General features: G+C 33.8%; 1 protein-coding gene across 89 annotated transcripts in view; it reads left to right on the top strand.

The window, feature by feature from the left end:
• RIMS1 (regulating synaptic membrane exocytosis 1) overlaps nt 1-23,956 on the top strand; it is a 516,596-nt gene that overhangs the window by 318,911 nt on the left and 173,729 nt on the right. For 44 of the 89 annotated variants that reach the window (NM_001350458.2, NM_001350433.2, NM_001350446.2 and 41 more), the window contains exon 1: nt 7,433-7,762. The exons of 22 other annotated variants lie outside the window; for them this stretch is intronic. In NM_001350458.2, coding sequence (NP_001337387.1) covers nt 7,663-7,762 — 100 coding nt within the window. In that variant the 5' untranslated portion in view covers nt 7,433-7,662. Of the gene's footprint in view, nt 1-7,432; nt 7,763-11,060; nt 11,179-11,480; nt 11,784-20,187; nt 20,276-23,956 lie in introns of those variants that run through there. 23 more of the 89 variants (NM_001350469.2, NM_001168409.2, NM_001350466.2 and 20 more) reach the window with 5 other exon arrangements.

Genomic DNA, 23,956 nt, shown 5'->3' on the forward strand with positions numbered 1-23,956 from the left:
TAGAAATTAGGGACTTTGGGGAAACTGAGTTGAATTGAGCATGAGATTGTATATTTCACAATTAATGGGGGAACTAGAATAGTGATTAGAGTGGTTCAAACTCAACCAAGCCTGGTGTTTGGAACTGAAATCATGTAAGAACTTTTCTGTAACCCAAATAATGAGTCAACTTGTCAAATTTATTTAATAGCTGCAATCATTACCTCTAACTGACTTATTTATAAATTTAGTTTATAAAATGTGATTGCATCACAAAGAGTATCTTGGCATAATAAATACTTTATGATAGATATGGACAAGTATTTTTTATGATAACAAACTCTATAATATAAACACTGGAAGTCAGCTTAGTTTCCAACAATAAGATACTGGTTAAAAAGCACTGATTATAGGAATATTGTGTAGCCATGAAAATCTTGTTATATATTGTTATATTTAATGACATAAAAATATATTTGTGATACTTGAGGGAAAGGGATTGCTAATTATATCTATACTATATGGTATGTTTTTGAAAAAATGATTACATATGTGCACAGAGAACTAACAGGATATATACCAAAATGAATATACTTATATTTTTTTCTGTTGTCTCTTTCTGTGTGTGTTTTTAAACCCCTACCATAGTTATATTCTCTTGTATTTGTATTTGCTCAGGTTTTCTATTTACCATTCATTCCTTGGCTTTGCTTTTTTACCTTTCATGCATTCTTAAAGACCGATCAAGTTGTTTTCTGTGTCTCTTCATTTCTTTTAGAGCTTAAGGCATTATGCATTTCATTTCTATCATTTAATGCAAACCTTCACTTTTCAATGAAGTACTTAATTTTAGAACTTTTTAGTAAAATCTAAAATTAAATCATATGTCTATGAAAGAAGACTTTAGCATGCTTTCACTTTTCTCAAAAATTTACTGTCTTTATTCTATCTTCTATGATATGATTTGGAATTTAAGTTCAACTTGTGTTTCAATATTCACATAAATAGATATCAGTGTTATTATTATAGTTAATACTTAATTGCCAACATGTTTAAATGATTTCATTTTTCTTGGTTACTTCTCATTTTCCCTTTCTGCTTTATTTTTCTTCTTGTCAGGGCATGCTTTGTTAATTTTTTCAGTGAGCGTCTGGGGGTAGTAAGAAGCCATTAGTTTGTTATCATTTCTTGAATGATATTCTAGTTGCGTATATAGCATAGACTTTTTTCTTCCATAGTTTCCAGTACCTTGATCCCAAGTCACAGGTATAGCACATTGCAAGTGGCAACCCTGGGAGAGATTGACTGGGGTTACTTTTAGCCTAATTAATGGGAGGAGCTTTAGGCCTGGACTGACTTCTCTACTGGCAGGACAGGACATTGCAGCGACAGTAGCCTCTACCCATCTGCACTACCTTTCAGTGGGTTGGGTGGCTTCAGCCACTTTCACCACTTTGCATTTTAAAGATTCCAGTTCTGCATTTATCTTATTTACGTTTTGTAGTATGACTATTTATTTTTTGAAATAAATATTGTTTTAGAGGTAGAAGACTATGTGTATTTATATCTTGACACAAAGTTCATAAATATTTTTAAGAAAAATTTTTGAAAATTATTTGAGAGAGGAATAAACAAGCAAGAAGTAGTCTGGTCCTATAGGCAAGGTATAACCCAGAGAAAGTACTGGCCTTTATGTTATTTGGTTAGAAATTCAGCTGAGATAGAATTTAGGGAGCCTTCTATTCTGGAAAACCACTGGTTTTGATTTGTTTTGTTTAATTCCTAATAGATTTTCAAAATACTTCTCACATAGAGAGGACAACAGGTGGATACATATAAATAGAAAAGTAGAATGATGTGTAGAAATAATAGAGTGAGACATACGCTCCTGTGTAGCATTTAATTACTTAGCTTGTACATCATGTAAATGATCTTGACTCTACTTGACTATGTGCTTTCTTTAATAACTTGGTATTTTAAGTCTTATCATATTTTGCCTAACATTTCTACTTAGCTTCTTTAATTTGTTGATTTTTTTTGTGGAGAAATAGCTGATGTCCATGACTATACCTAGGAAGCAACTAGGTGTGTGGGCAATAGGATGATAAAGAAGGCACTATTACTTCAGATAGCATTACTTGAACTGTAGTTCTGTGAGGACAAATAAATATATCCATTTAATGGCGTTTGAACTGACAAATCAGATTTAAAACTGTCAACATATCAAAGGGAAGAAACTAACTAGGACACCACTTGAAATTACTTCCAGTTTACACTAACATTGCTGCCAAGGCTGAGGAAATTAAACGTAGGCAAAACAAACAAACAAACAAACAAAAAAATTCTCCCCAAACCCCCCAAATTCCACTGAGAAAAACCTATAAATGATTCATAAAGATAACATTTTTTAAGGCATAGTGGAGTTTGTGTGAAAGAGGAATCTCTAATCTCCAAGTGCCAGAAATGAAATGAGAAAATTAGATCTGTAAGTATGTGAGGTGATACTTCAGCAATATGCCTGGATAAATCAAGACTTATAATGGTTGGGGGCTTGCATTTTTAAACCACACAGGGCCATGAGAATGTTTCCCTCCTAAGAAGCGGAAATGGCAATTTTTTAACCTCTTTTTTAACCTTGCATCTTTATACAAGACCAGGACACTCAGAGTGCTTTCTCCGTAATGAAAGAAGGATGAATATAAAACTTGACACAGCTTAGGTAAATGAGTAATCTTATTTCTGTCTGAACCGTGGGTGAAAACAAAAACAAGCAACAAGTCTGTTGTAATAAATTGAAGTCTCATTCTGCTCATCTGTTCATTAAGTGGATTTTATAGACTGAATTTATATTGCCTACATTGTAATGTAGTCCCGCATCAAGAAAATAACATTAAATTTGGTCCTTGGTCAGTGATACCTCATTCTATAATACCTTTCCCATCCAGTTTTAAGCTCAAAACTTTTTCCATTCCCGTAAGATCAATTATTAAAGTTACAAAGAACAGGCAAATGCTAAGAAATGGAGCTCAGAGAGCTAAAATGTTGGCTTTGTAAATTGGAATCCTTTTTCTTCTGACATGTTTTTTGTCTTTTACAGAGAAATACAGTAATGACTAAAACATTTGTGCCAAGCTTGAGGCTGAAATTGTCAACTTCTGATTATCCTTTAAATATCTAATCACCATGAAAAGCACTCAAAAGGTCTCCTGTAGGTAATGTGTAAGATCAGTCAGAAGTTAAAAATTGGAGGAGAGACATTCCATGGTAGTAGGTGAATCAGGTTTATTAATTAGGCACACTACAAACTTACCTTTTATATCTTTCTTGATGTTCCTTTCCTACCCAAACGTCTTCTCTCCAAATATCTTAAAAATATTATCTCTGAAAAATTCCCTACTCAACCCTGGCTCACATCCTGGCACTGTCTGACATTTTGACATGTTTGCTATTCTGATCCCCTTTATTCCATATCCAGTAATTGCCTCAATTACTCCATATGGTTGGGTCAGGGTCTGGAAGCTTTAGGGCTCTGTAGCTTAGAAGACATCACAAATCAAAGCAAATGATACAGACCAGTTCTCATTGAAGATCTCTTTTAAACATGCTTTTCCTTTAACACACTGTAAAACAAAGAATAGAATTCATTGGATACTCATATTCATTTATATTATAAATGGCATCATTACTACACTTTGAAAACAATAATTTACATACCTGTAACTTAATTTGAATTTGAATTTCAGAGCAATTTGGGATCCAGAGCCCCCTTGATAGATAGCGTCAAATACTTTGAATCTTTTTTAACCTTTTAAATTTTTCCAGTTAGGCATTTTATAACCGGAGTTGCTTCTAATGTCCAAATCACCCTTGTGGGAAGCCTGTAAATAGTGATATAAGAGGCATTGAAGCCTTATAACTCAGGAAATTGTAATTATGAAAGAGGTTCTCAATCCTGGAAGAAATTGAACTAAATATATTAATTTCCCACATCCTAACATTTTGAGAATTCTTATGTCTTCGAAACTAATTTTGCCTTCTATCTTGTTATTGTTACTCCACAAATTGTGTCTTGAATATTGATTTATTCTGTTTTTAGCTGTATGCAATCGGAATTTACTGGGCTATGTCAGTTGGACTTTGTCTTGAAATATTTTAAGTTTCAGCAAAAGAAATAAACACAGGCCGGGCACGGTGGCTCATGCCTGTAATCCCAGCACTTTGGAAGGCCAAGGCGGATGGATCACGAGGTTAGGAGATTGAGACCATCCTGGCTAACACGATGAAACCCTGTCTCTACTAAAAATACAAAAAATTAGCTGGATGTGGTGGCAGGCGCCTGTAGTCCCAGCTACTCGGGAGGCTGAGGCAGGAGAATGGCATGAACCCGGGAGGCGGAGCTTGCGGTGAGCTGAGATCACGCCACTGCACTCCAGTCTGGGCGACAGAGTGAGACTCTGTCTCAAAAAAAAAAAAAAAAAAAAAAAAGGGAAAGAAACATAAAACAAAAAACATTTGCCTCCATATGATTATGTAGAGTTGAATAAATGGAACTTTGGTACAGAAGCTGTCCATCTGGGTCAGGAAAAGGAGAGCTGAGCTGATAGTTTGTGGTAGCTGAATCACAGATATCCCAGTGACAGAACAAGACATGAGTCCCTTTTATTACAGAAACTACCCAAAGGAACAACATGGTCCTAAACATCAACTCTTAATCTATGAAATGGGATCCAATACTTCTCTTTCTTGTTCCTTAGGATAGCTTAACAAAAATCAGAATACACAGTATTGATAATGCAAGCATTTTTCCAACTATTTCTGCAAAATAGCAGGCTTAGTAAATATTTCCAAAAATATTGTTTATGCTCAAGTAAGTTTAGCCAGTGCTAACTTTAGCTAAAAATGTCCTCAATGCAGGACTTCTGACCACCTTTTCTGGTAACGTGCCTTGTTATTTTTCTAGAAAAGAATAGAATATGCAGTGTGTCCTGAATACATGTGATTGGGGCCCTTTTATTTTAAACCATCTGCTAACATCTCTGTAAACTGGTGTTGTGAGATCAAGACATGGCAGAGCTATACTATATTCTCATGGAGGATCTTAGCCAACAGCAAAATGTATGTTCTACTTAGTGCGGATTTATTTGCCTCAATCACAAACTGCCAAGAACACAGCCTTGAACCAGATATTAAGTGAGAGTCCCCAAATTTAAGGAAGTGGTAATCTAAAGTGATATTAGCTTTGATTATTATTGCTTTTGTTGAATTCAAATTCTGGTGTTGCCACTGACTTGATATGTCATTTATCATACCTAAGCCTCGGTTTCCTCATCTGTAACATGGGAATAATAATAGCAATAAACCTTTGAGGCACAGACCTGTTCTATGTATTTTTTCTTTTACTCCAGTGCTTAGTATAGTTGATACTCAGAATTTTTGTTTGATGAAAGAAGTTCTGAATGCATGCATGCAGGGATCAGTGAAAATTGGAAGAAATAACAGAATGAAATATTATGCAAGGCCGACTGTCCCTTGAAGACCTAAAGGGAAGTGCTAAACAATAAAAAGATTAATGTGCATTGGGTTTAGTCAATGAAAACCTCTCAGAGGAGGTATCGTGAACCTGAACATGTTTTTATGCCATAACCTTTCATAAATATTATATTCTACTACTGGTTGTAAAGATTAAGAATCTTGGTATTACTAAAAGGATCTGGAGTTTCCACATGTACAGATTAAAAGACAATATATTTGCCCTCTTCTGTCCAGAGTTTGTCCTGCTATTGTTTCTTAAGTGCCAATACATTAATACAATATAGCAGGGCTCACACAGCAGAGTTAGCCAGTAAACTCAGTAGTAATGTGTTAGTTCTACCTGGGCAGTCTTCATTCTGTAGTCCCATAAAGAATGAGATGCTAGATTTACATCCTATCAAAGTAAATTATGTAGACATTCTCATTATTTAAAATGATTAGCATATTTGTCTATATGGAAGTTTACATTTTTTACAAGATATAATTGTGAGCAACAGGATATTACATAAGTGAGTCAGCTGTAGATTAGTAGAGATGTTTTTCAGCTTTTGAAAGTACTTTGGAAGAGTTTGGAAATAATATATACATTTTTCATATAGTACTTCAGTACTGTCCTTAATACGCTGGTGGTGTATGGAACTTAGAAAATCAATACATTATTGATTATTACTTCAAAGGATACTTGTAGGAGATTTGTGATTTGAAAGTCAGATTAATTTTGCATATGGAATTAATAGGACTATGGAGGAATAAAAAGGAATTTCTAAGATATTATATGTGATCAATATTTCAACATTAAAAATATTGGCATTTGATTGTAATAGGTTTTTATCTGTACTTTCTGGCTGTCATATTAGTACCAAAGTTTAATTTGAAAATGAATGTTTGGTGAAGTAGAAGCCTTAGGTTAGTGACTTAGGAATTTCATTTCCAGGATAAACCAGTCTTGGTAATACTCCATGTCTGTTTCTCTACATGGTTGATTCTCTTGTTAATGCTATCCATCTTTGTTACCTCTCAGATTCATTTTGAAGCATATGAATATTATTTAGGAAGTATGAAATATAGGCAAATGCAAGGTGATTGTGTTATTTTTGCTATTTACAACATTTTCTGTATTGAAATCCAAAACAATAATAACTACCTGCAGGAAAATATGCTTACATTAAAATTACATGTGAAATTTTTAGTTTGTTTGTTTTAGTGAAAAGACTACAGTTAAGGTAGATAAAAATATATAATTTTTTTCATAAATTAGGAATATGCATCTCATTTATCAGAAGGTACAGCTCTTCATATTTCAGAAATGTGTATTAGTTTTGTAGCATGTCACATATAATAGGAATCTATATATAATATATAATATATTCACATATATATGTATTTGCATCTGATAGAAAAATAATAGGAAGAGGGAAGCTACCTTAAAAAGTTTATGTAATAAGAGGTAAGTACTATTTAAAGAATATGTAACAGTTAAAAATACAGCCTAAGTTCAAATATTTCAAGAAGAAACAAAAGTGTATTTCTTCATAAATCAAAGATATAATAATAAGTGCTCCCATTTAATTAATTTTAATGGTACTGAACAAAAGCAGAAGAGTTAGGTTAAGAAATCATTCTATGGGCCAATGGCCATTTCATTGTCATAAAAATCCTTTATTTAGCCTTCTCCACAAATAAGCTCACAGCACGACAAAGGACACTAGTTAGAGTAATTTGGGCGATAAGTAAACAGAAGGAATGGCTAGGAGCATAGTGTCATCTGGCAGAGAGCTTATTTCCTGAATCCTGTGGATCTGGTTAAAACCCAACAGAGATGCCAATATGCTTCTCCTCAGTAAATGCTACCAGTCCCCACACCACCAGGCCCACCGAAGCTTGTCTACAGTATTTTATCCAAGCAGTCCTTTGGGTAACTGCACAGTGCCTGCAGTGACCTGAGTCAGTCATGCAAGGAGACTTTCTTGTTCTCACACCAATGTTTTATTTCAGTTTCCATTTTCTGCTGGTCCTGTTGTTCAATGATATAAGCAGAGTGATGAAGGAGGCGCTTCACACTCTTCTTAGATAAGATCTTGAGCAGCAGAGAGTGGTTTAAACAGCAAGGCTTAAATCTCTCAAGCTGGATTTATTTCCAAGTTTGCTGTCATGTGTGCACCTGGGATTCATGTCTCTTCAGAAGGGTGGGAAGAAGTGAGGTCTGTTGATTCCGAAGAGGGAACAATTGAAGCTCGACGAGCAGTTGCTGGTAAGCAATAGATAATGGTAATCCCACTTCATTTTGTCCCAGTTGTACCTAAATCTATATTTAACACTCCCTCTGTATCTATTTTCCAGTCAAAATATTTCTATTCTCTGTGTGTCAGGTGCACAGTGTTCTTAATTGAATAAAGTTTCCAGTTACCAACTTTATCTTTAATCTGTTACTCTGAAATGAGATTGTAGGGTTTATAATATAGCTCTAAAGATTTTAAGATGATTAATTATGTTTATGATTGATTCCTGTGTAATAGCCACATCAAGGGAGATTTGAAGATTAGAAAATCAATGTTCTGTGAAAATAATTAAAAAAAAATAGCAGGCTACCTAATTGTGCATGGGTTTTTTTTTCTGTAAATGTGTTCCATGCTTTACTATCTCATACAAAGAATGAGAAATACATGACAAATTGCAGTAATCATTAGTGGAATGTCAATGCAAAAATAGGAAGTTTGTGTCACTTTTTTAAAATAATGGTTCCTGGGTTCTTGCGAAAGTACCAAAACCTTTTCACAAATGCAGGCCTTGACCTAAACTACAATAGCACAAGGTCAAATGGAATATATGAAGCAAGCTCAAAATTGCATTTGATGTTAGGTTTTATGTATTCTCTCCCAAGGGAAATCAGTTTTCTGGTCTTTGATATAGCTGTGGAATCACAACTAAGTATGAGGCTGTGAAATATATAACCCAGAAGAAGGATATATATAGCTCAAGATGGAAGAGTTGTAGAAATATTTTAAATGAGTAAATATTGTTAACATAAATTTTGGAATTTAAAAAATGAAAATAGAAGGATTTTTTCTACTTTTACCTAGACAGTGGCTCCAGTGAATAACACTTACTACTATGCATGAAAGCTCATAGTATGTGGTACCCAGAAATAAGTAAGGATATTTTAGAATAAGGTCAACATTAATCTCTTCTAATATTGATTCTCTGCTTTGATTCTGTAATTTTGAAATCCATGAATACCATTTTGATTAATAAACCCTGTTTAGTTTATTAAATTGCATTTCTAACAGAAAATACTTAATAAACCAAACAGGGTTTGGTAACAAATTGCATTTCTAACAGAAAATACTTAATAAATCCAAACAGGGTTTGGTAAAAAATTGCTTTTCTAACAGAAAATACTTGATAAACCCTGTTTGGATTTATTAAGTATTTTCTGTTAGAAATGCAATTTGTTACTATTTGATAAATTTTCTTATATCAAGGCACTTTGGGGAACTCACGGTAATTATACTAAATTAATATAAATTCATGAGATGGAATGAGGGACAAATATTAGATTAATGACATTCAAAATGACTTTATAATTTGAAGTAAGCCCATACTGGATAATAAACAAGAGAAAAGAAATAGGAATAGAGAAATAAATATTTTTTTAAATCTCAAAACTCAAGCACAACAATAGACACATGCAGTGTATTAAAATGTTTTATTTCAGTTGACTTGAGCCTACATAGGCTTATATGATTCATGCATTCTTTTTTTTTTTGGGAGATGGAATCTTGCTCTGTCACCCAGGCTGGCGTGCAATGGTGCGATCTTGGCTCGTTGCAACCTCTGTCTCCTGGGTTCAAGCGATTCTCCTGCCTCAGCCTCCCAAGTAGCTGGGATTACAGGCACCCACCACCACACGCAGCTAATTTTTTGTATTTTTAGTAGAGATGGGGTTTCACCATGTTGGCCAGGCTGTTTCAAACTCCTGACCTCCGGTGATCCACCCGCCTCGGCCTCCCAAAGTGTTGGTATTATAGGCGTGAGCCACTGCTCCCAGCCTGATTCATGCATTCTTAAATTCTAGTCAAAGAACATTATATGGTAGCGATTTCAACCAGACAAAATGAGTATATTGGTTGTTGAAAGTTTTGACTCCCTTTCTATTGGTTCTCTTCTGTATACTTGCTGGACCAGCAGATCTATCTCTAGACCATGCCATCTGTATGTCTTCTTAATGACCATATCATAATGGAAGCAACTTAAGTTCAGCAAGTATAAGACTTCAGCCCCAATAGCTGCTCCGGAAAATCTTCACCACCTCAAAACATGGGAAATAAAAGTATATCATTATAGGCCCCCCGCTGCACCTCCAACAAGTCACGAGTACTTTCACAAAAACTGACATAACTTTGAAGTAATTCAACAAAATAATTGCAGTAACTCCTAACTACTATGGTGTAGTGAAAAGCTCATACATGGCTTTCAAAACAGACAAAACCAAGTTCAAATCCCAACTCTGCTACTTATAAATCATGGACTTCGGGCAATTTAATTAGGTTTTCTAAACCCCATCTCTAATATGGGATAAGTGTTGTTGATTTTTCCATATGCCTATGAGAAATAAATTAACTAAATAAAATTAATAGACAGTATAATATTTGGCACTTAATAAGCATTCAATTGATGTTTATTTCCCTTTTGCTTTTCCCAACAATAACTTGGTCAGGTTTTGACTACAGCCAGCTTTAAGCATAGGCGGAAGTTTGGGAAAAGAAAAAAAAGCAAACAGATTCTGAGTGAGACCGTAAATATGTTCTTTTAAGAGAGAAAAATTGTTCAAATTAGTCATTTCATTTAAGGCTGATATTTTGCAGTTGTTTTTGGTAATGAGATGATCCATGGCTCAGTTTTAATTTTTTTTCTCATGAGATAATTATTTTTGACAAGTACATGTAATTTAAGTAAACACAGCACCATTTGTTTTAAATAAATGAAAGATGTTCCTAATTTTCTCTCTATCCTCATTTGGCCATTTCATTTTCTAAAACAAAGTAGAAGCAGTCCACCTTGATTTTTCAGCAAATAATCCCTAGATGATTAGAGAAGTGTATCATTATTCATTGCTGTTTCTGGGATCTGAATGTTGTACTACAATAAAAATGTAATTGAGATAGTAACATAATTTCAAATCAACTAATTTTGTTGTTACTGTTGCTGTTGTTCTGTAACACAAAATATGGGTGGATGAAGTAAAATGTAGGTGACCCAATGAGAGGATAATTATTCTGTGTCTCAGTGAGAAAAAAAAAATCTATTGTATTATGAATTATGCATCTACAGTCCTCAAAAATATGCATCTTTAAAAATATCAGAAATACGAGCCACCTTCTCCTGTCCCCAGCTCTCTGGCAAAACCTGTTTGAGGTTGTCCTTTTGCCCTCTGGAGATGAGCCACCGTTAGCACTAGGCTGGCCGTACCAGAAAAGCCTGAAGAAGCACTTTTGCCTGTGTTCCCAACAATCAATTGTGTATACTCTTGGTTTATGCTTTCTGGTGCCAGTTGTCATTGAGCTGAGTAAGATTCCTCAGTTAGGGAAACTGCAGAGGAAATGATCTGTTACACAGGGCTTGGCAGGACCATTGCCAGTGATTGATAATGGGACCAAATCATTTCAGGTGAGTTTTCTGTGGTCTGACAGGCATCTGCTCAACCTTGTCATCTTAATCCATGGGTATCCCAGTGAGTGTCAGTGGGAACAAGATGAGCTCCTGAACATTTGCCTGAGTCTTTTCTTCTGTGTTAGCTTTAAGGACCACAACGTTTCATCTCTCTGGCTTCAGGAAGGTAGCAGCTTCTGTGCATTGTTTTAGGAAATGGTTAATTGAGGAGCTAAAAGAGCTTTAGTGTATGCTACACTGGGAGCCACTTTAGTACAGCACAGAGCACTATAGATTAATGCTGTAATCAATGAGAATCTGTTCACTGCAGAGATCTGTTTTGATGACAGCAGCACTTATGGCCTTGTTTAGTGTCACTGTTGTATAATGTTGGACACTGCAGGCTTTTTTGGCTTTGATTTAGAATGCAAGGACCACAGGGAATTTTATTTAAAATGTTGTATTTTGGTGGATTTTTTAATTGTGTTGTGCATTTGCTGCCATTGCTAGCTGAAATTTAATGATTTGATGCCAGTGGCATTTAGTTAACCACTCCGATGCTGCTGTTATGTTTGCTGGGTTTCTGCAGTTTCTACTACTTCATACATTGCACTCAGGAACAGGTAAACTAAATTATATTAATCTATGGATAAATGTAAAGTTAATGTAATTTATTGTTTAATTATCCAAAAGAGTAAGATACTAAAATGTTTCATTTAGATTCTATCAGTAGAGAATAAGGATGTTTTGCTTTATATAAATATGTAATTTTAGGATGCAATAATGATTACTTGTATTACATAAAGTTATTTTTATGATTTAAATGTTTATCTGAAGTACACATTAAATTATATACATTTTAGTATTACATTTAAGTCTTAACTTGAGATATATAGATAATATACAATTAATTCAGAAAGATACATTTTTCTTCTCTGATGGATCAAAGAGTTTGCTTTCCCTATTTAGTGACTTTCACTAAAATTAGAAAATGTCAGAGCTTAATCTTCTTGAAAATACAAAGATTTAAGTATATATAGATTGTTCTTTTCAAGTGTTTAGAAAAAATGCTGACCAGGTTTGGTTTCTCCTAATTGACAGTCCTGATTATAGAACACATTCGTGGAAATGCCTGTGTTTTCGGTGATGTTAAGCTGTGGACTAAAGGGGAAACTGTTCAGATGAGGGGAACAGAGAGCCCAAGACACAAAGAAGGAAAGAGAAGTGTAATCTTTTGCATCAGAGATTTGGGTGTGTGACCTTGGGTTAAAAGAGTAACTAGTGACTAACCCCTTCTGGCCCTTGTTTCCCTTCTGCCAGTTTGGAAAAAGACTCTCCTGTTATTCTCTGTAGGAATGGCAAAACATTTTTTCAGATGCTCAAGATCATCTATTGATGATTTTCATGTAGAAAAAAGACACAATTATTAAATGTTCAAAGGTATGCAGTTTTCCTAATACAAGAGGTAAATACAGCGGTTTTTTTGCTTTTTTTTTTTTTAATTGGCTTCATTGTAACTATTTTGCCAAATAGGCATTGAGTAAGTTTGAGGTGTCCCAAGGGCACCTACTATTAAGACTGCACTCCTTGGGAGAGGAAAGAGGCATCACAGTTGTGCTGCAGCCTGATGAGGACCTGGACGCAGAGAGGCACTGGGGCTCTCTGAAAGTCGGCCAGGGACAAGGGCTGTCCTCACTGCTCACTTGCTCCCCCTCAGGTTCAGTGTGTATTGCTGAGGGCAGCTGAAGAGAGCTCCTGCCTTCTTTTCTCAGCAAATGTTTTTCAAGAGGTCTACTTTGTGCTGAAGGCAAGCTCAAAATCCAAAGGGTCAGAGGCAAATGGAAAAGTAGCCACCTTCCACTGGCAAAAATATGAATCAGATTGCTGCCTACCAAATACTAGTTAATGTTTGTGAGTCTAGCCTAATTAAATATATTTTTTAGTGAGGATGGAAGGATTTTATTGTAAATTGAACAATGTGCTTACAGAGTGGCTAATAATTGCCAGTTTATAATGATCATGAATCTTCTGTTGATGTTTATACTTGCTGTTTCTTCTTAATAGTAGACACCCACCATTATGAGAGGAAGGCTGAGGCAATGATGGTTCATGTTCCCAGATATATGTACATGAGAGACGAAAGAAAAAGAGAAACAATGTGATTGATTTCTCTGTCTAGTTCTGAGGAACCAGTCTGAATTATAGTCTCTACACATATATTTATGAGGGCAATAACTTTATTAGTAAAGTGATTATGAATTCCATAGAAGTTTGTCTGCTCAAGTCTCTTCCAACTTCCTGATTTTATGGGGTGCTGCTGTTTATTAGTGCATAGTTAGGAAGATCTTCAAGGAGAATAGATATTTTCATTTTGAAGTATTACCTGTGAATGTTCCTGGCAAGGAGGGTTCTGTTAGAGAAATGAAGAAGTCATTTGGAAAACAAAAACAAAAATTAATCTCAATGAACAGCAAATATATATTCTCCCCTATCCTTCCCCAGGTCATCTGTAAACACTTTTAATAAGTAAAACAAATGCTTGCCATTCTCAATTTTCTAAGGCTAGGGAGATTGGGAAGAAGCATGTCAATTTATCAAAGAAGATACATTAATGAAGGAATTTGTAATTATTTGATACTATGATAATTGTCAAGAAAACTTTTAAATACTTATCATCATGCCTGTAAGTTGTAGGCTAATGAAATGGTTTCAGATATTATATAACCTGCTTCACGTAGGCCAATCTTTTGTCTTTAAGAAGGGAATCATCATAATTATATTATGAGTGGGTCAATTACTTGCAGAAGTGTAACCAAAAATCTTGATTGCGTAGTTAATTTAAATAAGTTTTAGAGAAGGTTTTACGTGACTTCTATGAGTCTTGAATATCTGGGAAATAAATTCTTATGATGAACTGTAAACATTGAACAAATTTCAAAACTGACTTCAGAAAAGGGGGTATATTGATATAATGACTGGTGAGTTTTAACAAATGTATTTCAATACTATAATATCTGTCTTATATTTTAGGCTTATAAATAGCTTTGAGGGTTTTTTTTTGTTTGTTTTTGTTACAAGAGGCTGTTAGCCCTGCAATGTTTGTGGTTTTTCTCTCTAGAGAATGCTTAGCCCTTGAAACTTGTTCTTCTGAGTAGGTTCAAATTGCAACAACTTTTTTATCCACTTAATTTTTTTTTTACTTTTATTTCAGGATTATGTTCTGTAATCACTTATTTAGATTATATAAAGTTTGTTATTATATTTTCTATATTTTCCTATTTAGCATATATCTGAAATTGTCTAAGGTATTCATCAGAGAAGAGATGTTAGTACATTTGTGTGTGATATTTCTCTTGCCTATTCTATATTAAAGGCTTTTGAAAAATATAATTCATTGGAGTGTTGCTAGGTCATGAAAGTGCTTTTTGAGGTGAGTTCCCTTGCTCTCTATATGTACTCACAAAGCTCATTTTCTCTGAGTATGGTTTTTTGATTTCCTAAGTGCCTGGCTTAAATAGTGATCTTCATGAAAGCATACTGCTGAGGCTGAGGACCTGCAAGAGAGGATAATTCTGGGAGCTAAAGGTAAAGCAACAAGTCCATATCATAATACCCTACTCAGGGTCACTCATTCCTTTAGTCCCTTTAACCATTTGTTCTTAACTTGGAGAGAGATCAGAGGCCTTTGAGAAATAAAGGAAGCAATGGACTCTTGAGGGAAAAAATACTTTTGCACACAAAATTTTACTTGCAATTTAAAAGAGTGTGTGGATCCCCTAAATGTAATTATGGACCATGTAAAAGGACTTGCATAACTCAGGTTTATAATCCTTTCCTTAAAAGTCACAACAAAGAAGTACTTGACATTCAGTGGTAGAAAAAGTCCTGCCTACACAAAGGTACACCACTTCTCATCTATGGTTAGTGGATAAACTCAAGACCAGCTTCAAATTGCTCTTGCTAAAAAAACAAAACAACAACAATAAAAAACCTTAGTTACTAGTTGGTGTTTTCATTGGCTCTGCCATTTTATATCATAAACAAATACACCCAAAGCTTAAATCTCCAAAAGATAAATATGTGATGATTAGACAGATCATTGGCATAAGCAAAAACATTAGGAATGACTGCAAATTCATTGAGCTTGTTTCTGTTTAGAATGGCTTGACAGAGACTAGGTTTCTCTTGACAATAGGCTTCTTTGACAAATACGTTGTGATTTCTTGATTTCAGAGGCTAGTTTTGTTTTAGGCAGACATTTAGTTATAGAGATCTCTATGTAAGGTTTGTTATTATGAGATTTTACTGTAATCAGAGCTATTCAATTAAGACATAAAAGTGATGGAAAAATTAAGCACAGAATAAGGGGCTCTAAAACATCTATTTAATCTGAAAGACCCTTTGAGTATTGGTAAGAAACATGTGGTTTGTAACAAGAATAGTCTTTCTGAAGTTTTTGCTTGAAGCTGTCCCCTTTGAGTTTGCTATATAGAGTCTTTAAACGTAATATCTTTATTCTCCACAGATTTCCTGGATGGTTTAACAAAGCTAAATTGCAATGGATACAGTTTGCATACTTGTGAACTAAGTACACATCCATATGTGCGATCTAAAATGTGATACAGTGATAATTATGTCAGAGATTATGGTAGGCCCAAAGATCTGGGGTGAGTGTGTGTGTGTGTGTGTGTGTGTGTGTGTGATTTTTTTTTTCTCATTAAAACTATTAGTACATCACTTTGAGAAACAAATAGAACCATAGAACTTCTTGGTAATAATGGAAATTATAAAGGCCAATAAGATGTTTTTCAGTGTTTTTAGTCCCTTTCAACTGTAAATAATGCAAAATGGCTAGCCTAGGGTAGTAATGAGTTTCTCATTTGAAAACTAAGCCATTAGAATACAGTTGCAACAATTATCACAAATTATTTACAAATATATTTCAAACGTGAATAATAAACATTTTATTTATAAGCTAAATGCTACTTATGGTCTTGCCAGTTAAAAAGAAACTGAGGTTGAGTTTAGGAGGTGCTATTGACTGGCTCTTTTATTTTGAAATGGAGATCAGACTTTAGTTTTATTTATAGTATACCTGTATATAACATAATGCCTTGTTTTATAAAAGATAAAATTAAGCTATGATATTTTTTCTTAATACTGAGATTATTATAATTACTATAATTTGGTATTTCTCATGGATTCTATATTTCTCCAGCTCAATCCTGCTGTGATCAATAAGATATTTTAGCTAGCATTTGGGTTGGTTTTTACGGAAATTAGGTGAAATAGAATGATTTTATATTGTTAAGATTGGTGATATTATTAGGTCAGTCTTCAATGTGCACATTTTTATTGACAGAACTGAGTTAAACATATTTACTGTCTTTGTGAGTGATGTCACCTTATGTCTCAATTGGGAACGTTTTGTTATGGATTTATAAAAAATTATAAAATATGAAAAATTGACTTTTTAACATTACTGAAATAATATTCAATTTAATTTTTTATAAATGTAATCTTTCAAATGGTAATTTTAATTTTCAGATTTAGTGTTATTGAATAGTTTATCAGTGCTAATGGTTTGCAATTTTATTTTTTTGACCTAATGTCTCTTAATTTCACAATTTAATTCAGTTACATAATTCTCTAAAAAGATAGTTTTGTTCACTTGGTTTGCTCTTTCTTAAAAGACATTGATTTAAGAATCTTTAAAAGACAATTCAGCTACTCTGTGTGGGGAGTATTATGCAAAGAGCACTTGATCTTTTCCATTTTTTTGTACTGCATTCAAAAAATATCAGGAAATAGAATATGCAAAGGGATAAGAGTTATTATTTACAGTGCATTTAATCTTTAAATTAAATTCATGATTAATCTGAAGCAATATTTAATAAACAGTTGCTGTATGTTTCTGCTTTTTGTTGCGTTGATAAATAATGACTTAATTGTAAAAACTTAGCTTCTGATCTCTTCTTATTTACAGCTGAGTTTTTCGATGTGCCAGATATTTGCCAACCAGCTTATTGTTATGATTATTGCTATTTGTTTACATTGTTTTAATTAAAGTTTATCTCATCAGAATTATAATTTACCAACCTTTGTTTTTAATTAGGAGGGCTATAAAGGGATTTCATCCTTGTTTTTATAAAAATTTACATGCTGTAATATTTTTAGTTGTTGCCTAATGGATATTGTTTTAACATCAATGTTTTGCCCTTTAATCCAGTTGTTTTCATATATAACTGTTCATGCACTCCTTAACACAATTATGTTCATAGAGCTACACACAGTATCACAGTGTTGAGGGCACATAGACTCTTAGCTGATTTGTTTGTTTTTGTGTATTTGTTTGTTTAGGTTTCCCTGCCCACTTTCTTGTTAATAATTATTGCTGTCAATGTGCTTGTTTGAACAAACCATTTTCCCATTTACAGTGTGCATCTTTAATGGTTTTGTGGGGTTGAATACCAAAGAAACTCTTGTATTATTGTGGCTATAAAGTTATGAGCGAGGTGCTGGTGTGTTTTTCTAGGAATAAAGTCTAGGAGCTCAGATTTTGTTCTATTGCTTTTTGCCAGATGAGAAGACCTTTTCACTTACTTCCCATCCTTTGGCAAGACTCTCAAATAAATTAAGATAACTTGCTATTTACTGTAAAGTAATACCTGCACATCAGTTCCATTTTGTTGTTTTCTGTTGAATCAAAGTTATTTTGAGTTTGAAGGAGGGAAAACTGCATTTTAATGAAAATAGAGTTACAATAAATATACTAAATTATATTGTGTACATATCATTTAGTAAGATTTTAATTGCTATGTTAATATCATTTTAAAGCCTATTTTAATATCAAAAGTGATTTACAGTAGCTGCGAAAATGTAAAAATGTAGCCAAGTGAAATAAATTTAAAATACATAGAAAAGATCAGTAAGGGGAAATAAGGGTAAAAATTAGGCTGCATATTTAATCACAAATATCCCAACACAAAAAAGTGTAATTCATTACAAATGCACAACATCTTTAATACAAAATAAGCCAGTTGCAGGCCAGGTGCGGTGGCTCACACCTGTAATCCCAGCACTTTGGGAGGCTGAGGTGGGTGGATCACGAGGTCAGGAAATCGAGACCATCCTGGCTAACACGGTGAAACTCTGTCTATACTAAAAATACAAAAAAATTAGCCAGGCGTGGTGGTGGGCACCTGTAGTCCCAGTTACTCGGGAGGCTGAGGCAGGTGAATGGCGTAAACCTGGGAGGTGGAGTTTGCAGTGAGCCGAGATCGCGCCACTGCACTCCAGCCTGGGTGACAGAGCGAGACTCCGTCTCAAAAAAAAAAAAAAAAAAGCCAGTTGCGTAAGTGCACACTAATTATTCCTGATACCAACACCAAAAGAAAGTTTCTTTTCTGTTATTTCATAGAGGAGATTATCAGCAGGAGCAGAAGCAGCATGATCCATATGAGAATCATCGTCACCATGATCCATATAGTAAACAACCTGATATAGTAATGATAAAGGACAGTACAATGAAAGGAACTGTAGGTGCAGTGAGGGGAGAGGGACTGTCTAGAAATATAGTGTGTTCCAGGTGCATGGTTGTTTGATGGTGGGAATTAATTCGTAGTTTTGTTTTAGAAAATATAAATTGATTTACCACATAGCCCTCACAAAGACTTCTGTATATATTGTTGCTTTGTGTTAAACATTTCAAAAATTTGTAGGGCAGTATCTTCAAGGATAAACTCTCTAAAGTGTACTTGCAGGTAGTTCCATGCAGCTAGTTATTGTGAAGTCATATATTTAAACAGCCAGTAAATCTGGGAATTGGATTCTCTTGCATCTGTGACAAAGCCAAGAAACCAGTGTTGAACAATTTTAGTCTAGGTCAGTGAGGCTTACTTATTTTTTAAAGTAACAGTTCCAACATGAAGATATTTTTAAATAATTATATTGGAAATATAGATTTAAAACGGTTTATTCAGTCAAATATTTAGGACCCCTGGAAGATAATTCCTTTCTTGAGTCAATAAGTTAGTCTTTGACCGACATTAACGTAGTTTGCTTTTTAATGAAACATGTATATACAATCTATATGGATTTGTTGATATTGCTTCTTTATCCTCATTTTTTTGTGGTTTATCTTATTTCAGTTATTTACTTCTGTCACATGGAGTTGGAGTACAGTTGAAAGAACATGACTTTATAAAGCTTGACCAGTTTTTCATTGAGTCAGAGATTTAGACCAGTGACTGCAATGTTTTGCAACCTGATTTCCTATAGCTGTAGTTTTGGAGTTTTATTAATATGGCTATCTAGAAGTTTTCTCAACAACAATGCGAAGGCATAAAATAAAATGTTCTCCAAACTTCTGTGTCTGGTGATTTTCCACTGCCAGTCAAAGAATTTCCAACTTAAAAATAAAGTCCTTTAATGTATCTATAAATTATTTGTTTGCATAGCCAAAATAAAAACAAAGACAAACAAACCAAAAAATAAGTAGAATAAAACAGAAAAGAAAGGCAAAAACAAACTATTCATAGTCACTTGAGGGATCTCTGGTGTCAAAACTTGTTTATATTACCCACTATTTGCTACAGTATAAACTTTTCTACTTTTTTGTAGATTAATAGTATATTTTAAAATAAGAAGTATCAGTCCCACATAATTACTTCTGTTTTGTTCTACATATCCTTAAAATTCATCTTTATTATCATTTTACTATTTTCATTTATATCACTAAAAGCATGTATCCATCTTTACATTTTTTATTTCCTTGTCTTTGGGATATAGAGGCAGGTAAAAATTGATTTGACATTCAGAATATTATTTCAACTTAATGCTGTTTTGCTAGTATTGCCTGGGTCTGGATAAGGACTAATATTTTCCTTTATCAAAGATATTTATATGTAGAGTTTGTTCTTGTAATGTCTTTGCTGTGAACTTGCCCAGCACAACAATTTCTTAAACCTATGGTTAACATCCAGTCCCCAAACAATGAAAACAAATAAACCCCAATTTTTTCCACAGGGTTTCCTGGCTGGTTATTCCGAGACTTTGCACTTGACAACCTGTTCTCCCACGTGAATGGAATACTCAGTGTCAATGTGGAAGCCTGGTCAGTTGGAAAGTTGCAGTAAAATATTTCCTTCTGCTGTACAGCACTTCCCAAATTCTTATTTATGAAGAGTCATTGTGTTGAAACAAAACAAGTATCCCTAAGATTGTCAATTTTGTGATTTGTTATCCAGGTTATCTTACTATTCTATATTTAGATCCTGGGAGGGAAATTTCTCAGTTATTAGGCCTCAGGTCATATTTACACATGAAATTTATTCTTCTCCAAACTGTTTTGTGTGGAAAGCATTTTGGCCATTATCAATGACCTTGAAGACTTTTCTTCAGATACATTTTCATTGTCATTTAATACAGATAATACAGTATGGTCTAGATTTCTTGAAGACCATGACCACATTCTTATTTTATAATCCTAAGGCACTAAGTTGTGTGCGCATGCATGTGTGTGTATGTGTTTGTGTGTTTGTTGTTCAAGTTTTCCGGAATTTTAATTTATAAAATTTATCTAAGGCATTATAGCACCAGGCCAATGTAGAGGTAAGAAAGATGGCATTGAACATCATGGTGTTTTGGGAATGTTTCTGGACCCCAAAGCTTCATGTGATCTCAAAATCTAAATTTATATAAATGTACATAACTTTTAAAACTAGGAAGAATTAATCTGATGACTGATGTTTACTGTCTCCAATTTCTTTTAATTTCTCAATATCGATTACCCTTTTCAAAGCAAACCCACAATGTTTTCTGTTTTCTCAAAGCCCCATTATCTACGGTATTTCATGTTTAAAATTACAATAGTTATTTTCTTACTACCATCAATCCTGCTATTGTTTAGATAATTTTTAAAGGAATATAAACTAAAAAAATGAATTACCGGAAGTTAGGAAGCTTACAACCTATTAGAAAATAAATATTAAAATATATTTTACATCTAATGTCTACTAAATAATTTTTAAGGTATAATACAAGCTGTCTTCAAGGAAACATTGTTAGGGATATCTTGAACAATCTGGCCAATTAATAATTTTTACAAACAACAGGACTTCAGCATTTTTCTAAGCCCATTTCAAAGCATGTTTTGCAAAGATTACAGATATTACATCTATTTTGGTTACAATCACTAATTAACTGTAAGTCTGATCTCTAACACCACGATTTCATATTCTTCATCTCAATTGTGTAATGAGACATTAAGCTCTATTTCTAAACTCCTTTACAATTCACAATACTGACATATCTCAGTTAATCCTCATGAAGTGTTTGTGAGGAAAGGCACTATTCTTATTTTGTAAAAGAGGACAAGGTTAATAGAGATGAGGAGATATTATCAAGAGAATGCACCTAATATGGCAGATTTAGGATTAGTCACAAGTCTCCAACTCGGAGTACAAAGTTCTTTTTACTGCATAATCGCTGATTTTATAAGTGTTATATGAATATGATTATAAATATTAGCATATAATGTTGATGGAGAAATTAAAACATAATGAAGTTTTGTTGATTACTCAAGATTTCAAATAAGTAAACTGCTGGGTAGAAAAATATATTTTTCTTAGTTTGTACGTGCTATTAGAATTGACAGAAATGCTTATAATTATATAAAAATGCAAAATGTTTTTAGTATACATTTTTATACTCTGACAATGTGGATTTCTGTGGTGCTCTATAGTTATAATGCAGTTTCGTGCACATTATCTCATTCTACCCTCAGAAGAAAGAGGGGTTCTATGAGAGTTAGTTACCTTCTGAGTCGAATGACTGAGCTCATGATTCAGCCAGAAATTTTGATTCTGAGTTCCATATAACTGCTTTGTAGAGTTGTGTCATGGTGGTGTTTGCATCCCAAAACTTTGCTCTCAAATTCAACAAACTATACACACAACCAGAAAAAGTACTGCCTCTACCAAATATGTTAATAAAGTTTCCCTTTCCTGGACCAGCTACTGAGTTTCCTTGCCTGTGTCCTAAAATTATAAAACATAAGGATGGCACCACAGGGCTTCAAACAAATATTTAATCACTCTCTGGGGTAGTTCAACTCCGGAGGTTTCATTGAGTACGAATATTTTCTGAATACAAATATCTTTGTCACACCAATAACTTAATAAATAATAATTGATGCATTTACATGAATCAACTTAATAATACTTCAGTTTACCTGAATTATCAAAGTTACATATCAGAGAGAAAGACACAGGGGATGTTCTTGGTTTTAGGATGGAAGCAGAGTGCAATTATGAACAAAGGGGAACTTTTAAAAGGGAAATATTTTTCTTTTTTTAAAAACCACTTCACTGAGGTATATTTGACATAGAAAAAACTGTGCATATTTATTGTATACAACTTAATGAGTTTGGAGAGAAATATACACTCATAAAACTAGCACCACATTCTGTGCCATAAACATATCCGTCACCTCCAAAACTTCCACCCTGTTTATTATTATCTTTTTTGTAATAAGAACACTTAACGTTAAGATTTACCTTCTTAGCAAATTTTTAAGTATGACACACAGTATTGTTAACTCTAGACACAATTCTATACAGTAAATCTCTAGGGTTTATTCATCTTGTATTACTGAAACTTTGTACCTTTTGACTTATACCTCCCCGTTTCCCCTGTTCCCCATCTGCTAGCAACCACCACTCTATTCTCTGTTTCCATGAATTTGACTATTTTAGATTCCTCATATAATACTACTTATACTCCTCATTATGTTCCTCATATAATATTTTCCTTCTTATCTGGCTTATTTCACTTAGCACAATGTTCTGAAGTTTCATCCATGTTGTCAAAAATGGCAGGATTTCCTTCTTTTTCAAGGCTTAGTAATACTGTGTTGTATGTTTATACCACGTTTTCTTTATTCATTTGTCAGTGAACATTGTTTCAACCTCTTGGCTATAGTGAATAGTGCTGCAGTGAACATGGGAATGCAGATATATCTTTGAGATTCTGATCTCAATTCCTTTGGATAAGAAGTGGTATTGCTAGACCATATGGTAGTTCTATTTTTAATTCTTTGAGGAAAGTTTATACTGTTTTCCATAGTGACTGTACTGATTACATTCCCATCAGCCATGTAGAAAGGTTCCAAAATTTCTCCACATTCTCATCAACACTGACTTCTTTTTAAATTTTTATAATAGGCCATCCTAACAGGTATGAGGTGCTTTCTCATTGTGGTTTTGATTTGTATTTCTTTGATTGTTATTTATGTTGAGTATCTTTGGTGGTAAACATAGCTGCCATCCAAACTGAAATTTCTAACATGCATTTAGAAAACAATAGCGCTAACAAACTCCTAATGGCTAGAGATAATATGCAACTCTCCCAAGGATTTATACCTTTTTTTTTTGGTCCTGGAACCAAAACCAGAAATTTGATTTTAAGTTACTTAAAATTGTTAAAGAAGTTCTTGCTGAAGCCCAGTGGTCTGAAGAGGCCTCTAGCCCTGCTTTGGGCCTTGAGCTCAAGGGACAAAAATCTGTATTACCTAATTTTATGCAGTGTTTGCCTTCAGATATGTTTAGGGAGTGAATATTGGCCTGAATTTAGAATAAAATTAACAGAAAGTATTTGAGGACCAGTATTTTCACTATACTAGGCACTTTGACAATAATTCAATCATGAATGACAGTAATTCAGTTGTGAAAGATAATTTATGTAAATTTTGCAACAGTACACATAGATTTATTTATAAAATACACTTTAATATTTT

Source organism: Homo sapiens, chromosome 6 (assembly GCF_000001405.40).
Source record: "Homo sapiens chromosome 6, GRCh38.p14 Primary Assembly".
NCBI classification, from domain to species: domain Eukaryota; kingdom Metazoa; phylum Chordata; class Mammalia; order Primates; family Hominidae; genus Homo; species Homo sapiens.